Raw genomic sequence first — 22,297 nt, forward strand, 5'->3', positions numbered from 1 at the left:
TCTCTTCTGTGCATTGTGAACCTCTATATTTACATATACACAAATTTTCTGAGTTCCACCCTGGGGGTTTTCAGTAGACAGGCCTGGCCTACCACATTAGCACACTGTGACCTCTCAATATATGTTCTCTATTTCACATCTTCTCTGGTCAAATAAAATTTGAGGGGGTGGGGTAGGGTAAACTCTACTAAAAAGGAGCCCTCCATATGTATATCTAGGTTCTAGGTCCCAGACTCCAAGACCTGAGAGTTTGCACAGACTAGTGGGTGGCTGGTTTGCTCTCCATCCCCCTATCTGGTGAGTTTCCACTCTATGCTCACAGGTTCACGAGGACACATACCACATGCAACAGTGCCTACAGGAGCGAGTACAAAACTGTGACAGGATCAGGACAGGCCAAGGCTCCATATACCTTCAGAGGGTACAGCACAAGCAACTGGAGCAGAAGCTGAAGCAAGCAGAGGCCTGGTGGCTGCAGCTGGGAAAGTTTGCCCGCCTGGTTGACTACATGATTTGTCAGAGCCTCATTTCTGTCTTGGAAGAGCAGATAACCTCTTTTGTGGCCAACATCCTTCAAGTGAGGTGGTGGGTGGCATGTGTGGAGGTGGCAGGCAGTCCAGGGCCAGATGCTGAGGAATGTATACTGACATCTAGCCCCTCGACCTTTCCTGACCCTTTTTTTTACAGGCCCCAAGGCAGAAACCCTTTCTCTCATCACAGCTGGTCTTTGATGATCATGGTCAACTGTCTCATGTGCCCTGTGTTGAAAATATGATCCAGACTCTAACTGGAGGCCTACAGTCTGTCAAGACCTCTGCCTTGCAGGTATTCTGAATTGGGCAGAGAGCTGGCTGTGGGAATTCCCAGTTCCTATCCTCTGAGTAATCAGAAGCTCACAACCTGGTTTGAATCCCTCATTGCTTTCCCATTTCTGCCCCTTCTCCATATCCTGGCATGAAGGTAGTGCAGTCTGCAGACCTGAAGACCTCCTCGGATTCCCTGTATTCTGAAGGTATTTAGGGAGACCTAGGCAGGGGGTAGGAAGGCTGAAGGAGGGAAAGGGCACAAGTACTAATGGCATGGGAAGAAGGCAGGAGGTCCAGGCTATAGAGTCAGGCACTGGGTGTGGATGGAGCAGCTCTAACCTGGGTACTGCACATATGTGTTGTGGGTAGAAAGGTCAGGGAATGTTTTTGCTCACAAATTCACGTGGTTATGTGTATGTGCGTGCAATGAGAGGGTGTATGAAAGAGTGTGAGTACATTGTCCTTCCAAACCTGATTCATCCCAAACTCTGTGAGGTTTTTCTCCAGTGCCATAATTGCATTTCATTTACTACTGAATTTTATTGCTAAGTAAATTTGTACTTGTTTGAAGAGCTCTGCTTGCTCAACACTTGCTTTATGTCATATAGCTCTTTTTCATTTCATATGGATTAATTCATTGTATTGAAATATTTTATGGTTACCAATTATTATTGGTTATCAGTCTTCACACTTATTAACCATCAGCGTGGAAACACATCTTCACATTTCCCTTATTTAGGATACTAATGCTGTCACAAATAAAATCATTAAATGCAATCAGTCACATCTGACTCGTCCATACTTTTTAATTTCCTCATTCAACTTCTATCTGTTCATTAAGAAGATTTAAAGACATAACGTTAATTTTAGGGAATAGGTGACAAGGAGCAAAAAGGTTCACTGAAAGGAACCTGTGTCTTTTACAAATTATACACCAGTTGGGGCACATTGTTTTCTCCAAATAAATTTAGGTTAATTGATAGAGACTATTGATATTTGTTTTACATGGTGCTGTGGAAAGAAGAAAGGCTCTGGAGTCAGACTCATTAGTTTACTAGTCTGCAAAGTGGGAATAACAAACATACCTAACCTGAAGAATTATTTTAAAGATTAAAAGAGATAATATGTCTAGTATGGTGCTCAGCACATAGAAATACATGCTACAGATGTGCCTTCTTACTATTATTAGTATTAAATATGTAGATAAATCAGACATTTCACAGCATTTTCTCATTATATGTGGTACTAATTCATGTTATAAATATGCTGTAGTATTTTTTGAATGGTTAAAAGGAGCAAAAAACAACCTCTTGCATTTTTATTCTAAATTCTAGTGAAGCTGAAAATATTCACCTACCATGTCTTAGGTTGTCCCTTCTACTTTTAAAAAAGCACACGGATTGGTATGTTTAGGGGTGAAATGTCATAATGCTTGTATCTTACCTTCAAAATGTTTAGGGGAATGAAAAGATAGAAGGAAAAACAAATAATGCAATGTGACAAAATGTTAATAATTGTTGAATCTAAGTAGATGGATAAGGGTATTCATAGTACCATTCTTTAAACTTTTCTACAAAATTTGAAGAAAAAAAGGATCTGAATGGAAAATCAGATTCATATAATTGAGTAATCAAAACCAAAGTTCTTTTTGTTGTTTGTTTGTTTTCAAGACAGGGTCTCACTCTGTCATCCAGGCTGAAGTGTGGTAGTGCAGCCTCAACCTCCTGGGCTCAAGTGATCTTTTCGCCTCAGCCTCCCAAGTAGCTGGAACTGCAGGAACATACCACCATGCCTGGCTAATTTTTAAATTTTTTGTAGAGATGGGGTCTTGCTATGTTGCCGAGGCTGGTCGTGAACTCCTATCATCAAGCAATCCTCCTATCTTGGCCTTGCAAAGTGCTGGGATTACAGGCATGAGCCACTGTGCCTAGCCAGAACTGAAGTTCTGTTGTCCTTAAATTCTTTAAAAAAATTAAAAAGTTTTGATTTGCATTTCTCTAATGATCCATGATATTGAGCTTTTGTTCATATGCTTGTTGGCCGCATGTATGTCTTCTTTTGAAAAGTGTCTGTTCGTGTCCTTTGCCCACTTTTTAATGGGGCTGTTTTTTTTTTCTTGTAAGTTTGTTTAAGTTCCTTATAGATGCTAGATATCAGACCTTTGCCAGATGCATAGTTTGCAAATATTTTCTCCCCTTCTGTAGGTTGTCTGTTTACTCTGTTGATAGTTTCTTTTGCTGTGCAGAAGCTCTTACGTTTAACTGGATCCCATTTGTCAATTTTTGCTTTTGTTGTGACTGTTTTTCTCACTTATAAGTGGGAGCTAAATGATGAGAACTCATGGACACAAAGAGGGGAACAACAGACACTGGAGCCTACTTAAGGGTGGAGGGTGAGAGGAAGGAGAGGAACAGAAAAAAACAACTATTGGGTACTAGGATTAGTACCGTGATGAAATAATCTGTACAAAAAACTCCTGTGATAGGAGTTTACCTATATAACAAACCTGCACATGTACCCCGGAATCTAAAATAAAAGTTTAAAAAATGGAATAAATTTTGAATACAGGTAAATAAGTAGCAGTTAAAACACTAATAGTAGTCTTTAAGAAACATACATCCAACTGAGAAAACTGTTACTTAAATGAGGCAAAATTTGTATGGCCTTTTAACTAAATTACAAAATAATTTCAATAGCCCCACTTACACACAAAAGTATGAAAATTAACCCCTTTTCAATAGAAATGTATACATTGACTAGATTCTAATCACTAAAAGAATACTCAGGATATTATTAATAAAATAGTTGCAACATATTCTCCAGTCTTAAACGGCGTTCTCCAATATTTTCCAGAGAACATTTTACAACTAAACAAGAGAGTATTACTGTTACTATTTGATGTCCTTACAATTTTATCGGAAGTTTTCTGCAGTTCAAAACTCAGAAAGCACGATCAGCTAATCACTTTTCTCATCTGTCAGGTGTCAGATTCAAAAACCTTAAACTTTAGTATGGCAATATCCTACCAAGATTGGAATAACTTTTTGATATTTGTGGTAAGATAAATCTGTTACACTGAAAAGAGACAAAGGATTGCCTAATTTTAATTATATAATCTCTTGATGTACGTTTTGGTTGGGATGCCTGAAATTAGCTTGGAGATACAATGCAAAAATATGAAAACTGTGATTTTTGCAAGGGGACTGCACAGGGAAGGTCTCTTTGGAGTATGAGGTATGAGCAGTAGGACTAGGAAGAGGAAGTATAGAGGGAAGCAGTGTGACTGTGAGTAGATTTATAGATGAGAGAGAAGGAAAGATTTTTTTTTCCTTGCCGCTCTGTGAGAAAGCAACCTTGGAGGTATGAGGAGTCATATAAATATGTTTAACAAGAAGCTTTGCTCTGTGTGGAATGTCTGAGTCACTCATTCAAGGAAACCTATAGTAAAGATCTGTATCATTGAAGCCTTTCAAGTTGGATTGATATTTTAAAATTCAACTCCATGTTGACTCATATGTATTATATCAATACATATAAATTTTCAATTGAAGCCCCAAATCCCTTAGAAATGGCAGGTAAATTACATTCCTTTGATTTAGTTGATTTCAAATTTCTTCTTATGGCCAGGCACAGTGGCTCACACCTGTAATCCCAGCACTTTGGGAGGCCAAAGTGGGAGAGTTACTTGAGGCCAGGAGTTTGAGGCCAGTGTGAGCAACATAGTGAGACCCTGTCTCTACAAAAAAATTTACAAATCAGCCAGGCATGGTAGTGTGCACCTGTAGTCTCAGCTACTCAGGAGGCTGAGGTGGAAGGATTGCTTGATCTCAGGAGTTTGAGGCTGCAGTGAGGCATGATCACACCACTGCATTCCAGCCTGGGTGACAGAGATACCAAATCTAAAATTTAAAAAAAATTTTCTCATTATAAGCAAAGTTTATTTCATTCTTACCTTGGCTATGAAGTTAGTGATTTTTGTTTTGTTTTGTTGGTATGTTCTTTTACCAAATTCCATTAAAAATAGACTAGCTTTTCTTTCCATTGCTTGGAATCACAATTGACTTTGTATAGCACCATATTGCCTGAGCACTCTCATAGGTCTTGGCACCTAGAATCACTGCTCTTCAAGCTTGTCTTATATTTTGGAGCTCACAAAACAGACAATTACTAACTTCAAAGGTAGAGAAGAAGTAACAGCACCCATCTTCACAGAATTTGAAAGTAGAATATCAGGAAGAGAACCCCTGTCTCTCAAATTTCTGCTTATCCCTTTTTTCATCTCTTCTCTCTGTGTATCTTTCCAGTTCCTCTGCCCTGATTCCTGAGTCCAGTTATCTCTCCTTCCTTTGGACTTTCTGTTCCCTTATAACTACTTCTTTCAAATAACTTAAACTTTTTATGACACCGACTCCATCCTTGACTTTATATGATATTTGAGTTTTCCTGTCCGTGAGACTGATTTAGTTCAAACTTCAAGACAAGGAGTATGATTGATTCAGCTTCTCCTGTAGATTGCATGCTTTATTCATAAGCTATGGCAAGGGGATGTGTCATGGTGCAAAATAACTGGCTTTTAGCTATAGGCAAGGGTAGATCCTCTTAGAAGGCTGTGTATGGTGGGGGAGGTTGCAGTCTTCAGCTATGCTTGTGTTTGGCTATAAACGTCTATTATATGGGCCTGAGTATGGGGGTTGATTTTGGATTAAGTAATCTTAACTCAAAACTACGTACGCACCTATAACTAAAAAATTCATGATGCAGCTAGATTCAGCTGCAGTGGCCTAAACAAAATAAAACAAAACAAAACAAGAAGTCTTGAAGTAGGTGCTTCCAGAGTTTGTTCTGTGGCTCAAAAGTGGTCATCAAGTACCAGGTTCTTTGTATCTTTCCATCACTCTTTCCTGCTTTTAGCTATATTTAAGAGCAGATTCTGTAAGAGAGTTATGTGTGGCGGAGGAGGCCACAATAAAGTGGTTTTCATTTTTTTTGTTTTTTCATTCTCAGGCTTGTTGCCTCATAGTTGCAAGACAAGCTGCAATGTCAAGCATCCCATTCTCAAGCAAAATCAGGCAGAAAAGGAGAGGCAAGGTTAACAAGAGAGCTCTGTGTCTGACTCTCACTTTTTGCCAGGAAAAGGAATCTTTTCCGGAAACTCCCCATCAGACTCACTTTTACATCTCACCATCAAAATCTGCGTCATCTGTCTACCTCTAGCTGTAAGATAGGCTAGGAAATCAAATGGCTGACGTTCTCAGTGTCTCATGGGAGATGGTTCTACAACAATAGAGGAAGGGAGAAGGGAATAGCTATTGAGTAATCAACCAATGTACCTTCAGAGTTCCATTCTTCAGGTAGGCTCTGTCCACCTGGCAAGCAAGATAATCACCAGCATTCTCTACATCGTCATTTCATACTATACTCTTTCCCTTCTATCCCTCACTTAATCTTAGTTCTGTAAGTAACAATATCTTTAAGCCCACTAGCAGCCCTTGTGTTGATGTCTTTCTAGTAATTTTGTTTGTCTGAAGGTCACTTTTTACTAAATTCCTCAGGAAGGGCTTGTAGGGACAAAATTCTGAAGTTCTTCTATGTTGATAACAATTTGTACCTTTTGAAAGTTAGTGTTGCTGGATATAAAGTTGTTGGTTTATACTTTTTTCCTTTGTGTATCTTAAATATGTTACTATGTTTTCTTAGGACATTATGAGTTGCTATCAAAAAGCCTTCGATAGTCTAATTTTATTTGCTTTACAAAATCACTTGTTCTTTTTGCCTAGATTTTTTTTCTTTTTTATTGAAATCTAGTTATTTTTGTTAGAATATGTGTTGGTATTGAACATTCTGGGGAAGGATTGTCAGGTATGTTCTTTCAAAATGTGGCTTTATATCTTTTTTTAAATTTCAGAACAATTTTTCTGAATTACGGTTTTTAATATTTGTTCTCTTCCCTTGCTTTGTTTTTTTCTTGGGGGAATCTTGTTACTGATACATTAGATCCTTATCACCCATCCCCAATATTTTTCCCTTTCTCTTGAAATCTTTAAAATTGTTTATTTCCTTTTTAGTTGTATAATTACCCTTATTTTGCCTTCTATTTTTCTTGAGAAATTATCTGTCGAGTTTGTTTGCTCTTATGTCCCATTTTAGTTAAATTTCCATTATGAAATTGTTTTTTCTTTCATTTATAATTCTTTCCATAGTTCTGTCACATAATTTCTGAGTTTTTCTAATTCTGATATGTGTCCTCTCATGACTTCTATCATTTTTCTATTGTCTTTTAGCTTGTTTTGAAATAGGCTATAGTTTTGCTCTGGTTTTTGACATGCTTTCATTGTCTCTGGGGATTTATTCTATGCCTCGCTTTGTTTTTTTCTTATAAAAGCTTGGTATGGGGTTTGATGCTGATACTTTTCTACTGCTCATAGAAAACTGGAAATTTTAGCTTTTCTTAACTTTCAAAAGAAGACTTGGTTCAAAATAGTTCTCTAACCTCTAAGTTTCACTTTCTATTGTTTTTCTGTATTAAAAAAAGATGGCTTACTTTCTGAGGTTTTCTGGTTTCCCTCCCCTACCTTCATCTAGACTTTTCCTTTTTCTCTATTGCTGCTCAATCCTTATTCTACTCCCAGCATTTTCTCCATGACGAGCTCTGTCCCAAAAGGGAGCCCTGACTGTTTGGTTTCAAGAGTACACAGGGCATAGATTACTTAAGCTTCTATAGACCTTACCTCACCTGTTCTTGGAGGGGGTAAGACCCCCTTCCAGTTTTACCTGCTGTTCTGAAATGGGCCCTCTGCCTCCCAGTAAATGCTTGATGACTGTTTGGGGGTTTTCTTATTCTTAGGTCCATCTGTTGCTTCATTGTTTCCCTCTGCATCATTCATCACAAATGGTGATGCCATGTGTGTTTTGAGGTTGCAGATGGTTTGACCCCACCTACTTGTATTTTAGGATCTGTGAGGATCCCTTGCCCTCATTTGTTAAAAAATGCTATCCTTGTGTTTTTGGTTTTATTATCTAATTGTTCTGTCATTTTTACGTGGGCATTTGGGGGAGATTTCAAAATGATGCTGCCATTGCCATCATCTTCTCAGAATCCCTTCTGGCATTTTTTTTAAAGGATGATTCTTTTTCTTATATGGAGCAGAGACTGTAAAGTATAGGAGGCAAGGGCCAATGCAGGTAGAAAAGTTAGAAGGCTTTTGCAATAATGCAGTAAGAGATGATGGTGACTTGGGCTGGGGGAGGAGGGCAGGTGGTGGTCAATGTGGTGAGAATTGGTGGATTCTGGATATATTTTTAAAGTAACGACAACAGGATTTTTAAATGGGATGTGTTGTATGTGAAAAAGAGTCAAAGGTGACTATAAAGATTTTGACTGGAGAAACTGGAAGAACAGAGTTTCCATTTACTGAAGTTGGAAGACTGCAGTTTTGGCGGGGAGGAATTAGAGTTCATTTTGGCTCTGTTAAATTTGAGGTGCATGTTAGACATCCAGATAGAGAAGTGAATTAGGCAGTTCTTTAAATGGGATTGGAGTTAAGTGAGAGATCTGGGCTACAGATAAATCTGGGAGCAAATATATGGTACTTACAGCCATAAAGCTGGATGAGATTTCCTAGAGAGTGAGTACAGTTGGAGAAGAGAAGAGATCAGCTAGGAGTACTACAGGGTTTGGGTGTGGATAGTATGGCTCTTATTCTGAACATTTTAATTCTTTCCTTTATTTTGTGCGAAGTTTTAACACAAATACTAAACTTGTCAATTAACCAGTTCCTAAAGAGTTAATGAGTGGCTAGGTTCAAGAATATTCTCTAAGACAGATAACTGAGGACTGGCATGTTCAATATTCATTCCCAGCAACTCCTCTGTTCTGCAGATGCCAGAGACTACAAACTACACTTCCCAGACTCGCCTGCAGCTAGGTGTCATATACAATTTAGGATCCACCAGTTAGATCTACAAAAGACTTTGATTCAGAATTGAATTAAGAGGGGGAAAGAGTCAGGGCGTATGCCATCCGTTCTGTGGATCATAGCAGAGGCAGTGTGTTCTGTAGTTGATGGTGTGACAGTGATATCCCATTTTGCCAGGCAGAACACAGCCCTAGATGCTCAACCTTGAGTGGTTTTGTATTTTAGCTCTCCTATTATTCTGCAACCCATTTAATATTCTGTAATAAGTCCCTCCCTGCTTAGACTAGCTAGAGTAAATTATGTTATTTGCACATGAACCCTAACTAATAAATCCCCTCCATGGGTCTAGTATTTTACGTTTGTGATATAGATGTATGTGTTAACTCACTCATGAGCAGCGAATGGGTGTGTGTGTGTGTGTGTGTGTGTGTGTGTGTACACACACTGAGGGCAAGGAGAAAGGAAGATTGTTTGTGGGCTCTGGAGGGTACTCACGGACAATTATGGCCTGTGCTCCACTAGAAGAAGATGAAGAGGAGGACTCAAAAGACGAATTTCTGATGCCCAAGTTCCAGGGCCAGCCCAGCGATGCTGTGAGCATCTTCTGTGGCCCGAATGTGGGATTGGTGTGGCCCTGGAAGTCTCACCCAATTGCTGGTATCTTGGAGGTCCGTGGATGTCGGCTGCGGGGCCAATACTTCCCCCACAATTATAAGCAGCTGGAGGAAGACCTGGACAACAACCCTAAGATCCAGCAGGCACTGAATATACAACAGGTGCTGCTGGAGGTGAGAACAGTGGTTTAAGGGATAGGGCGCTGCCCACCAATTCCCATTATAGCCGCATGCCTCTGCCCTAAACACCTTGTCTGCCCTTAGGGCGTGCTGTGCAAGGTGCAGGAATTCTGCAGGGAACATCATTGGATAACAGGCATTTATGAATTCCTGCAATCCTGGGGGCCTCAGAAGCTGGAAGACATGAGAGGTGGTCCCATCAAGAACTACGTGACGCTGGTGAGCCGCCTGAATGTTTGGCAGGCCCGTGTCTCCAGTATGCCTATCGAGTTGCTCACAAAAGGCGGGTTGCTGCTACTTAGCTGCCATGATGTACAGGCAGAGATGGGTGAGTACTGCTTCTCTTCCCTCTCCTCCTTCCCTTTTCTGTATGTCTATTCACATGGCCTGCCTTGGTCCTGGAATGTCCTCCGGAGACCTTCGGTGCAGGCCTCTTATTGGACCTATGAAGCCTTCCAAAGCCCGAGGTCCCAGGCCCTTTCCTTTGCCATCAAAGCTATGCTCACTGCAAAGGCCGGCCTCTCTGTTTTGGCTCTGCTCATACCCTGTATTCCTTAGGAATCATGTTCCTGTGCTTGGGCTACTAAGCTCAGTGTCTTTACAGAGATTCTTGGGAATCTAGGGTGCTTTCTCTCTGCATGTAGCTGAGTGAAATTTATACTACGATTTGCATATGTAAAAAGCTACTCTCTAACTGAGCTTGTCTTACTCTGTAGTCCTAACTTCTACTGGTAGTGAAAGAATGTAACCTTTCCAATTAAAGAAAGCTCCTTTCATTTAAAGCAGTCACTTTTGGTCTGATTCAGTCTATTTGGGATATCTGGGCAATTGAAAATTTATACTGTAGTTCTGGGTTGTTTTTACTTTCAAATGTCTTTTCCTCCCTTTTCCTTCCCAAGGTGCCACCTGTACTGGGGAAGGCCGGTGGGCTGGCTTCTGAGGTGTGATACATCCTTGCCTGGTCTCTGCCCTCCTGACATTGCTGCTTCTGGTGCTGCTGTGTCCTGGGCTGGTAGAGCTGCGATGTGTTTTCTTGGACTAATAGGGACCTGGAGTGTCTGTCTTTGCTGACCTGTCCTTGTCTTAACATTTGCTGGCATAGCTGATCCTTGGGGTTTTAGTGAATCCTTCATCCAGTCTCTGTCTTAGGCTGGCTACCCCCATGGCTTTTGCTTCAGGGTCCCTAGCCCCTCAACACAGGAACTTCATCTAGGCCACTGGCTATCAATTCTCTGCTATCATCTATATCCCCTGCCATTTGGGAGTTGTGGGAAACTGGTAAGCATTATATCCGCCCCTCTTTTTACTACAACACATAACAGTATGATTTCTACTCTGCTGTGACTGTTTCATGTTAGCAAGGGACACCCTAAAAGGTGGTCTTTCCCAAAGTTCTATGTGGAAAGTGGGGCTCAAGACCATTCTACTACCTATTTTCTCCTCAACCCATCTCAGGTTCCCTCCTCTTGCCACTTCTACCCCTGCTAATTGAACGCCCAATTGTTGCTATCCCTGGGTCTCTGAGAAATCTGGCTTATGACCTAGTCTTTTACCCTCTTTTCTTTCTTCCTTCCCATGGGAAGGATATCTCATGCTATTGTGTACTAGCTAGTGCCTCAGCCTAGGAGTTCGCCACAGAGAGGCTCACAGCGGGGTAGATTTGGAAGCCAGTGATTTGTTCTTTTAGGAAATATGGAGGTTGTTCTCTTTCCTCACCTAGCCTCAAGGATGGCAATAGCCAATAGTATCTACTTCCTGTGAAGACTAGATCCTGTTGGACCCGTGGCTTCCCAGGCCTGCTTTCTTTATGAAGGTTAGAAGCCACTGGGGCCTGGAAAGAGTTTGCTTGTATGCCCTGCTTGCTTCGCCTTCCCTGTCTTGGCTCTCAACAGATGAAAGCACATGTATCATTAGGTATCCAGTGGGCCACTAAAACTCCCTCCTCTTGTACAGGGGGTTCAGGCGGGCAAGGCAGGAACCGGGAGGACGTTTGATTGTTTTGTCTTCTCTCTGGCCGTGTTTTGGTCAGGCTTTACTTCACTGCTGCTGAGAAAGCTTATTGTTGTTCTAGTTTGTTAGCTTCCTGATCCTCAATCCAGGACCAACTAGTCTCTTTAAGAGGAGCAGGTGGAGAGAAATGAGCACTGGATTTAGAACCCTGTCTGTTTTTCACTTGCTTTGTAACTTCAGATTACTGTGTTTTAGTTTCTTTATTTGTAAGCTGGGCATGATAACACAGTCACTCACAGGGTTATAGTAAGGATGACTAAGATATTATTTGCAATACTCTTAGCATTGAGTGTGGCATGCAGTAGGTGCTTAATATTTTTTTCATTTCACCTTATCCCCTTGTATCTACTCTCATCCTTCTTGCTGATCTAATTTTATCTAACCCTCTGACTTAACTCTGTCGTTTCTCTTCTTCCTGAACTCCCTTGAACAACAAATGGCGTAATTATACACTCTGACGAATTAGCTTCACCAGAAACTTGGGGTCACCCTTTACTCCTCCCTCTCCTTGACCTTACTACATCCAACCTGTCTCCAAATCCTTGTCATTCTTCTGCCCCCTAAGTATCTCTTAAATCTGTTTTTATCCATCTCCAGCTTCTAATCCCAAGGAGTCCTGGTATTTTATCAATGCATTGCTCCTTTATACCATACGGTGTCACTGTTGAGCTCCCATCTGCCTTCATCTGCCTGTTGCTACTGGTCCAAAAGCAGCACCATAAACAAACAAACAAACAAACAAGCAAACAAATGTGGCAGCATTGCAATGGCCTAGTTACTGTTATGTTCCAAAGGGACAGTGTGAAAAAGGATGAGTTTAGATCTTCATGTTCTGTTTGATATAGGTTGTCCCTCAATAGGCTTCCTCTCAGCAGGTTTTCTTATTATCAGGTCTTAGTACCCAGTCATCTTGGTTACTTCCTCCAAGTCTCTGAAAGTGACATACCCAGTATGTCTCAATTATCTGTCCCCCAAACTCACTATTTTACTTACTAGTTGCAGAGATGCTAATAGAGGATCGGTCAGTTTACTTTGCACATAACATAAAAAATATTTTTAAATACTTTTTATAAACATATATTTTTATGTTTACATTTATATTTATAACATAAACATGTTTATATTTAAAATATAATGAAGTGGAGCCATGCTGCCTGAGTCTGAATCCTTGCTCTGCCACTGTGTGATGTTGATCAAGTGACATAACCTCTCTGAGCTTCAGTTTGCTTATCTGTAAAATAATAGTATTTACTTCAAAGGGAATTTGTGAGGATAAAATATAATTAAAGTACTTGAAATAGTGTCTGGTATGTAGAAAGCACTCTATACTCTATTTGGTGTACCATATTTCTATATTGTATTTTTCCTATTCTGTGCATATTTTAACATCTCTGAACTTTAAAGGTGTCTCATGATTGAAGATGTGTTAGAGTTTAGATGGCATCAGTTTTTTTTCTTTGTTAGTGGTATATAAAATAATGGTGCTTCTTACAACGGGATCTTAGATTTTATGAGGTATCATATGGGTGTTATCCCTGCCCTCTGAGATAATAAAGTTGTTCATACTGCCAAGGGCAGCTTCCAGGATTACTTTCTAGCCCCTTATCCACCTGAGACTTTCTTTACTTTAATCCTTAAAAACAAAAGGCAGATCATACTACCTTCTTGGTCCCCTTCTTCTAGAGCAAGGGCAGTAAGACTCCAAAACCAGAATACTTTTATGTCTGCTAGGATACTCTGCTATTCACAAACATGTCATTTCCATACTGTTGCACACACTGTTTCATCTTTTTGGAGAATTAATACTCAACACATCCAACTCCAGTGTTCCCTTCTCTGAAGGGGCCTTGCCCAGCCTTCTCAGGATACCCCCCGGCACCCCCACCTCTTAGCTATACTGGCTGAAGGCTCCAGGCACTCACAGTGGATTTATCACACTGATTTGTGATTGCTCATTTGTATGTCTGTCTCTGCCTCATATTGTGAGCTTTTCAGGGTGGGGAAACTTTCTGTCTCATTCATTTGCTCTCGTCTACCAGTATAGAGCACAGTCCCCAGTGCATAGCAGCTGACTGGACATTGAGCAGGGATTCAACAAGCATTAAATGAGATAATTCATGGTCTGACCTGCCATTCAGCCTACTCCCACTCTGGACCACAGCACTGTCCCCAGCACCCCTTCTTTTTTATGCGTCCCCTCACACCTTACTCTCCTGTCTCCAGAATCCAAGCTGAACAGCATAAGGAAGGACATTCTTGCACACGTGCAAAATGAGTGCTGGAACCTCAGTCAACAACTCATGACAGAGCTCACAGATTTCATGCATATCTTCCGAACCATCAACTCAGATATTCATGCCATTGCACAGTGCACCCAGAAGGTGGGCTCTCCCCATCCATCCTTCCCAGTTTATTCAGGGCCCATCCTGCTCAAAAGCTCAGCACACTCTCTTCAGGTCTCTGCTGAGCCCCCAGCAGAGCTTGATGCTCTTAAACTGTGCTCGCCTAAGAGATCTACCCTTGCTAATTCTTACCCTGTCCATGTGGCCCTCAGGTTCCTCATGTCACAGGGAGGCCCTGGTGTGATGAGAGAGTTGTGCTCTCTGTGACAGTCAGATAGAAAATTGTTGCCTTGTCATCAAGGTAATGGGGTGGTGGGTGAGAAGTGGACCCTTCACCAGAGAGATCTGGGTCAGAGAGAGATTTGATCCCTCTGGAGAGATCCCTCAGGAGAGATTGCCCCTGATTCCAGTTGATTACAAGGCTGCAACTGGGTCTGGAGACTTCACTCCAAAAGGTGGGAGTTCCCCTTGGGGATGGGACCAAAGAGGTACATGGGGTTGTGGGGCTGCCGGTCTCATGCTGTAATTCCTGCAGTTGAATGAAGCCAATGAACAGTACGTCGAGCTGGAGGAGCGAATGGAATACGTACGGGCACTCCACGAACTCATCCGCAACCACTTTAGCCTCTTTAGTGCTGAGAATGAAGCACTGGACATCTCGGTGAGAAGGCAATTCGGGGAGTCACCCATCCCTCCCTGCCCTCCTCCCCCACAACCACATCTACTCCACTGCCCTCTGCTTGCCCCACAGCTTCTGGATATGTGGGAGGCATTTCAGTTTGAGAAAAGCCAGGCTTCAGAGTTCCTGCTCAGCAAGCGACATGCCATTATGCCCAAGCTGCAGCAGCTGATGGCAGCAGCATTGGCAGAGCTGGAAGGCCTGCTTGCGAAGGCCCTCTCCGGTCCCTTTATGGACCCCACACAAGATCAGAGGAGTACTGAGCACCAGCTCGTCTCCCTAGAGCGTCAGTTCCAGAACACAGTCAGCGACCTCAGTGAACTGCACCACGCCTATGCCATCTTCACTGGTACTGAGGATCCCTGCACCCTCCATTATCACTCTGTGATAGACCCTTCAACTGAAGTAAGAGTTGGAACTCAGGGTTCTGTGTCCTGTATGACCCCAAGCAAGCCTTGGGAATCACACACCTTCACTGGTGTCTTTTATAAATGAAAATTTCAGGACAAAAACATCATATATTGACCATGGCAGGTGTTGTGCTTAGGGTGGGGGTATGGGGGCTCACAGTCTGGTAAGGAAGGCAAACAAGTGAATGTTCCATCAGAATGTGATGGGGTCAGGGGCTAAAAGCATGTGTGGGAGAAATGTAAGTTCTCCTTATAGAACGTAGCCTTTTTGTAGCCCTGTTCAACACAGTCCTACACCAGGCAGCAGGCCCCGAACAAGAGTAGGTCTTGATGCTCTAGCAGATCACTTCCTCCAGCCAGTGTGGTATAGAGAGGAGGCTACTGAGGGCCTCACTAATACACAGGAGGAGGCCAGGACAGAACTATTGGTCTCAATTCTTTCATACAGTGGTGCAGGTAAGCTGGTTCCCTTCTGTTCTTAAAGAACTCTGTGGGCTCTGGAAGGAGACCAGAGCAAATATAAGAGCCATTACCAAACAATGGAGACAGGATCTCAGGCTAGAGTGCAGTGTCATGATCACAGCTCACTGCAGCCTCAGCCTCCCAGGCTCAAGCAATCCTCCCATCTCAGCCTCCTGAGTAGCTGGGACTACAGGTGTGTGCCACCATGCCTGGCTAATTTTTGTATTTTTTGTAGAGATGAGGACTCACTTTGTTGCTCAGGCTGGTCTTGAACTCCTGGACTCAGGCAGTCCTTCTGCCACAGCCTCCCAAAGCACTGGGATTACAGGTGTAAGCCACTGCGCCTGGCCTTCCTTCCAGAATTCTTATATGTATGTTGGATTTACTGAATCTCTCTCACTCATTGCTTTTATCTTCTTTATCATCAGTCATTCCTTTATTCTTTTTCTCTGAGTTCTGGAAAAATGTTGTGAGCTTGTTTTATAAGCTTCCATTTCCTATGGTATCACTTTGTATTTCTATTGCATTTTAAAACACACATTTTGCATGTGTATGCATGCTTATGTACACATGTATACGCATGTAACTGTGTGTTTATGTGTATATACATGTGCACACATTTGCTATCTCTATCTGCTGAAGAGGACATGAAGCAAAGAAACCCCAGTAGCAAGAAGCCACATTGTGCTCAGGTCTTAGTTTCTAACAAACACCATTCCCCATTAAAAGGAACCAGAGCTCCTTAGAGAAATGGATGATTCCAGGGCTGTGGCAGGGTAGGTACAAGATGAACCTAAAGTGTCATTTTATACCAGAAAGTAAGAAAGTATTAAAGTGTTTAAAAAAGTGATGGGAGCATATCACAAGGATTCAGAAGGGATACCAACTGGCTAAATCTGGAACAATTTGATCACCAAAGTAAGTACAATAATAAATTCTAAGCTATTGAAGTAAAGGCATTTATTATGCGTAGTAATAATAAATAGATAATGAGAGAGAAATGAGGACTCATGCTTACAGTAAAATGCCAGGAGCTGACTGGCATAAATGTGGAAGGAAGGCTGGAGTGGGAAAATTATTATTTTGCAACCATCATGGTAATTACCAGATCAGATAAGGATCAACAGATGCCAAATCTAGGGCAAATTTGATGAGGAGCAGAATATTTGCACTGTCTTTGAGAGTTTCTCCCAGAGATCACTTATTTGTTGTAAAAAAAAAGAAAGAAAGAAAAAGAAACAACAATTAGTGGAGAAATCAGACAATAATTTGACCAGGTGATTAAAAATTAACATCACCAATGAAGGACATAGGGACATGATCTGCCTTCAGATGTGATACTGGAGAAGGAAGGATACAATATCACTTATGTAGTAGTCCAGCTGAGAATGAGTATCATTTTTAAAAACCATAAAAACACAACATGAGGAACTTTCTATGAACAAAAAAAATGGCAAAAGGGGACTGTATACTTCAAAGATGTCTGTTACAAAAGAAAGAAAGGCTATGGAAATGTTCCAGATTAAAAGAAACTAAGAGACATGACAAATGCAGTGCTTGACCCTGGACCAGATGCTATAATTGAGGCAAAAAATGCAATCTAGGACATTATTAGGTCAACTGACAAAACTGAAATATGGACAGTAGATTAAAATATTGTATCAATATAATATATGAAATTTGGAATTGCACTGTGGTTATATAAAAGAATATCCCTACTCTTAGGAAATGCATACTTGAGTATTTATGTAACTTGCCCTTAAATAGTTCAGAAAAAAAAATTGTGTGTGTGTATATGTGCATACACATGCCCATGCACAGAGCATGTGAATGCAAATGATAAAGCAAATGGGTAAAATGTCAACAAAAGGCAAAGATAAACAGTATAGATATATATCTATACCTATGGAAGATAGAAGGTACACAATTTTTTTTTACTACTTTTTCCTACAACTTTGAAGATTGGAACTCATTTTCAGATAAAAAGTTTTAAAATGCATGGAAATTATCAAGTAGATATCACAAAATGTCTGTCAAAGGACATTTGCTCTTAATCCCCAGTTTGTCTTTATCTTTTCATGTGTTTGGAGATGATATCTCTGCTCTTTCTTACAGATGAAGTTGTTTATTTGTCTAATATTTGATGTTGAAACAACTGCTGTCAAAGATTGTATGGGACTCTAGCCATATCTTTGAGTTTAGACAAAGACTGGAAGAGTTTAGATTTACTGTCATTTTACTTTTTGTCAGATCAGAGCTTTGATAGCCTAGTGATTCCAGCTTTTTAATACTCTGAGATCTCCAAAATGGATGATGTGCACATGTGTAAGATGCATGAGGCCCAGCATTTGGGTGTGACTCTATCACTTTTTGTCCCACTCAAGAAAGTAAACTGGAGTTCAAGTTAATGAGATATCTGTTGTCTTTTAAGTAAATTGCAAACCTCGATATTATAATTATTGTTAATTATAAATTCCTATTGACACTTATCTCACAACTGACTATAAGTAACTGATTAAGAACTAATGTAGTACCCTGTGAGATGAAGGGGTGGAGGATAATGGCCGGAGGTAAACATGACAGGTCCTCTATGTGGGCCAGATCTTTTTTATATTCATCTTGCTGAACTTTCTTTTGGGCTGACAGTTCATTCGCTCATTCATTCATTCATTCATTCAACACATATTTGTTGAGAGACTGCTGTGTACACTAGGCTTGAGGTACATCAGTGAACAAATGATAAAATGCTTTTCTTAATGGACCCAAACTTCTAGTTGGGAGAGAAAGACAATAAACAATGATGATAACCAAATTCTGTAGTATATAAGAAAGTGATAAGTGATAGAGAAAAAAAAAAAATAGAACAGAGTAAGAGGGGTTGAAAATGCCGGGAAGGGTAGCTAGGAATTTTTAACCAGATAGCCTGCATAGGCCTCATTAAGAAGGTGCTGTCTGGCTAGGCGCAATGGCTCATGCCTATAATCCCAGCACTTTGGGAGGCCGAGGCGGGCGGATCACGAGGTCAGGAGTTCGAGACAAGCCTGGCCAACATAGTGAAACCCTGTCTCTACTAAAAATACAAAAATTAGCCTGACATGGTGGTGTGCGCCTGTATTCCCAGCTACTTGGGAGGCTGAGGCAGGAGAATCACTTGAACCCGGGAGGCAGAGGTTGCAGTGAGCCGAGATCACGCCACTGCACACCAGCCCAGGTAACAGTGCAAGACTCTGTCTCAAAAAAAAAAGAAGATGCTGTTTGTTTGAACAAGGACTTGAAGCTGGTGAGGGCATGAGCCATGTGATTCTCTGAAGGAAGAGTGTTCCAGAAAGAATAGACTGCTAGTCAAAGGCCCTTAGCAGGAGGGTGCATATCTGGTGCATCTCAGCCATAGTAAAGCGTCCAGTGTCACTAGAATGGAGTGAATGAGATGGAGACTAATTAAAGAGGAACTCTTCCCTTTCACTGCCATCACATTTTCCCAGATGGTCTTTCCCTGGAGTAACTGTTCCTTGGATTAACCCCACCTCCATTGTTGAGCCAAACAATTTGGAACTCCACCTCCCCCACCCCCAACCATCACTTTCTGGACCCTACCTTCTGTCATTATGGGCTCTTGACTGATCATTCCACCACCCCCCTCCCAACACTGCAAGTAGCCCAGGTCTCAAGTCAGCCCTCCCCCACAGAGGATGAGACTCCTGTGCCCTTGCCAATCTGTGGGACACGTCCTATTGTGCAGCAGCAGCGCATATGGCACCTGTACCGAGTCATCTCCGAAAACATCAGCGAGTGGAAGTGCATGGCTTTTGCCAAGGTGCTGACACCCTTCCTTGGAGCTCTTGACTGGGAGTGGAGGACTACAGTGGTGGGGGAGGGGAAGAGTCTCAAGCTGACAGTGAGCCCTTCTCCCTGCAGTTCAGCCCAGCTATGGCCCAGGAGAAGACAGAGGGCTGGCTGACAGAGGCAGCACGGATGAGCACAACCCTGGAGCTGCACAGCCCCGTGCTGCAGCACTGCATGCGCATCCTGGGGGAGTTTCGCAGCTACCTGCCCCTGCTCACTAAGCTGGGCAGCCTCCACCCACAGAGCCTCAACTGCCAGTGTCTCCTGCGTGGTATGTTTGGTTAATGTCAGAGGAGGGGGAAAGGGAAATATGTGAGGTTAGAGCGATGCAGCAACTCAGTTTCCTGCTGCTCCTGCTGGAAACACCTTTCATCCCCAAGTTTCTCCCTACCTTTCCCACATATTTCAATTTCTTTTCCTTAACTGGGACAAAAATTTTTAACTTCCCTTACTACCTCCTCTCTGCTGATGGTGGCTGGGCTTGGGCTGGGGCCTTAGCTCTGGGCTCTGAGTTGTGCTCTAGACCTTGAGTTCTAAGCTGTTGGCTCTGTGTTGTGCTCTGAGATCTGCTATCTGGGGTCTGAGCTGGGCTGGGCTGGGCTGGGCTCTGGGATATGGGATATGGGTTGGACTCTGCCACATACTGGGTGTTGCTCTGACTTGTTTTCTCTACCTCCAGCCCTTGGGCTGGGCAGTCTCCAAACTATAGAACTCCTAACGCTGGGCCAGCTGCTTACTTATCCACTGCTGGAGTTTGCAGATCGAATCAACCAGGTGGGGCCCTCAGTACAGGGGCGAGGGAGGTGGTCCAAAGCCAGGACCTGTAATAAAGCCAGTCAAGGGTGGTGGGTGTTTGGCATGTGATTTAATGTGGGGTTGAGCCTGCTAACCTGCCTGAAGGGCAGGAACAGTTTCTTTAAGTCTCCAGATGGGGATCTCTTGTGTGATTCCAGACTCCCAGTGACTGAGAGTATGTCCCTGATGGGGGAAGGAAGTGGGTGGCAGCCCCGAAGTTGTGGGCACACAGAATGGCAGGTGCCCCCCAACACCTGTCTTGTCCCCAGAGGGTGCGAGCTGACTGAGGTATTTGCTCAGTTGGAGCCTTGCAAAAGTGGGTGGGGGTTCCAAAGCAGTGGCCCTGGGGCAAGGTAGTTAGATGCTGCCGATGGCCTATCTTTGAAGCCTGATGGTCCCACTCTCGCTTCATCTCTGAGACCTCCACTTTCCTGAGCCCTGGCCCTTGAGTTCTGCCTCAGATCCAATCCCCAAGTCTCGGCTCCAAGCCTGTCCCCGAAGCAGTTACCCAGTCCTGGTTCCTGAGACCCAGCTGTTCCAGGTCTGGCAGAATGAAAATGAACGAATTCATGCCCAAGAGACTATACGGCGGTTGCAGCGGTACTGGGAAGCGCGCCAGCTGCGCCTGCTCAACTTCATCCTGCATGTACCCTACGAGCCCCCAGCCTCAGAGCGCTCCAAGAGGCAGGTGCTCCGCAGCCCCCAATGGGAGGTAGTGGACAAAGATAGTGGCACCTTCATCCTCTCAGGTGAGACCCAGACCTTGTGACCTAGTGAAAGCCCCCTGCTGGGGGCCATTTTCATCCACCATATCCATCAAGGCCTGCCAGATCTGATTCTCTAGCCAGGGCCCCATCCTTACTAGACAGCCTAAGACATTAGTCTGTTCTGAGACAGTGTCTTCCATGTAGCCCCCCTACTGTCTTAATCTCCTTGGGATCCCCTTCCCCTCACCCATCTCTACTCAATGCCTGGGTCCTTCAGCAAAGGTCCTCCCCTTTCTGGGTACCCTCAGAAATTCCTCATAGTCAGTTATCTACACCTTTCAATGCTCTGTCCTCTAGATTGCACCCTGCTGTCTGATTTTATACCTTATTCATTAATTCATTTCTTTATTCTCTCCCTCATCAAACCTGCCTCCTCTGTGCTAAACACAGGAGACCTTGAGACTTACAGACAGTATCCCTGTCCCCCAGAAATTTCTGAGTCCAGTGAGGAGAGACAGACAATACTATAGGGATAAACACAATGGAGCACCTTACTGAGGGCAGTAGAATCTCAGAGAGAGGACCAGCTCAAAGAACCAGAGAGAGAATTAGAGAAGTCTTCTTTAGGCAGAGGCCTTATACTGACTTTTTGAAGGAGTAAGAGTTTGCCAAACTTGCCAGGTGAGAAGGGCAGACCAGACAAAGGGAACAGCATTTACATAAGCATCCAAGATGATATAGCTAGGGCATTGCCAATAGAGGAGAATTTTCTTATTCAACGCAACTAGAACCCAGTTGGTGAATCCAAAAAACTAATGATGCATACATAGTTTAAGATTTTTATTTTAGCTTAAAATACATACATGTACATTTATTTACTAACGTTTTAACCTAATGACAAGAGCTTTTGTTTGATTTGATAGTTCCTCACTGCCTTTCTTGCATTAATGTATTGTCTACTATTTCTGCTTTCACTTTCTGCAAAGTTGGGCAGCAACATGAAGACACTTTTAAAGTCCTTATGAAGGGAAGGGCCTTAGCTGCAGAAGCTGGGCACTGTGTGGAGAGAGGGAGGTGGGGAGAGGACTTCCAAGGAGATTAAGACAGTATGGGAGTTACATAGAAGACACTGTCTCTATGTGACTTTTCCAGGTTTTTATTATAAGTTCCCAATTTATAAAAATTGACTTGCCTATACCTAATAGCATATGTTTAATCAGTTTGCCTTTACTGAAGCTTTCTGTGGTTTCCATAGAAACAGCAACTTTCCCCCCACCAATGTGTCAGTGGTTGTTACAATATTAGATTCAACTCTTTACTTAAAATCACAACATAACTCACATAAATAGATTTGCAAACACACTCTTATTCTTAGTGCGCACACACTTTAACTAGTGGAAGCAAAAATGTTTGGGTCTTGTAAAGAATAGCTTGAAATCTGCGAGTTTCAGTTCAGTTAGGGCTTTAGTCCGTACATTTGATGGTAAGAATGGGGAGCATGAATAAAAGAGCTTCTATCGCTCTGTGGCTGGA

The 22,297-nt window shown here is 42.4% G+C and overlaps 1 protein-coding gene across 2 annotated transcripts in view; it reads left to right on the forward strand.

Annotated features, from left to right (window-relative positions):
• Positions 1–22,297, forward strand: part of DNHD1 (dynein heavy chain domain 1) — a 74,741-nt gene that overhangs the window by 21,998 nt on the left and 30,446 nt on the right. Inside the window, exons 8-18 of one of the 2 annotated variants that reach the window (NM_144666.3) lie at positions 323–577; positions 688–825; positions 961–1,012; positions 9,245–9,510; positions 9,601–9,844; positions 13,750–13,907; positions 14,404–14,896; positions 19,106–19,233; positions 19,335–19,533; positions 19,942–20,036; positions 20,599–20,806. In NM_144666.3, the coding sequence (NP_653267.2) occupies positions 323–577; positions 688–825; positions 961–1,012; positions 9,245–9,510; positions 9,601–9,844; positions 13,750–13,907; positions 14,404–14,896; positions 19,106–19,233; positions 19,335–19,533; positions 19,942–20,036; positions 20,599–20,806 (2,236 nt within the window). Of the gene's footprint in view, positions 1–322; positions 578–687; positions 1,584–9,244; positions 9,511–9,600; positions 9,845–13,749; positions 13,908–14,403; positions 14,897–19,105; positions 19,234–19,334; positions 19,534–19,941; positions 20,037–20,598; positions 20,807–22,297 lie in introns of those variants that run through there. The other variant, NM_173589.4, reaches the window with a different exon arrangement.

Source organism: Homo sapiens, chromosome 11 (assembly GCF_000001405.40).
Source record: "Homo sapiens chromosome 11, GRCh38.p14 Primary Assembly".
NCBI classification, from domain to species: Eukaryota; Metazoa; Chordata; class Mammalia; order Primates; family Hominidae; genus Homo; species Homo sapiens.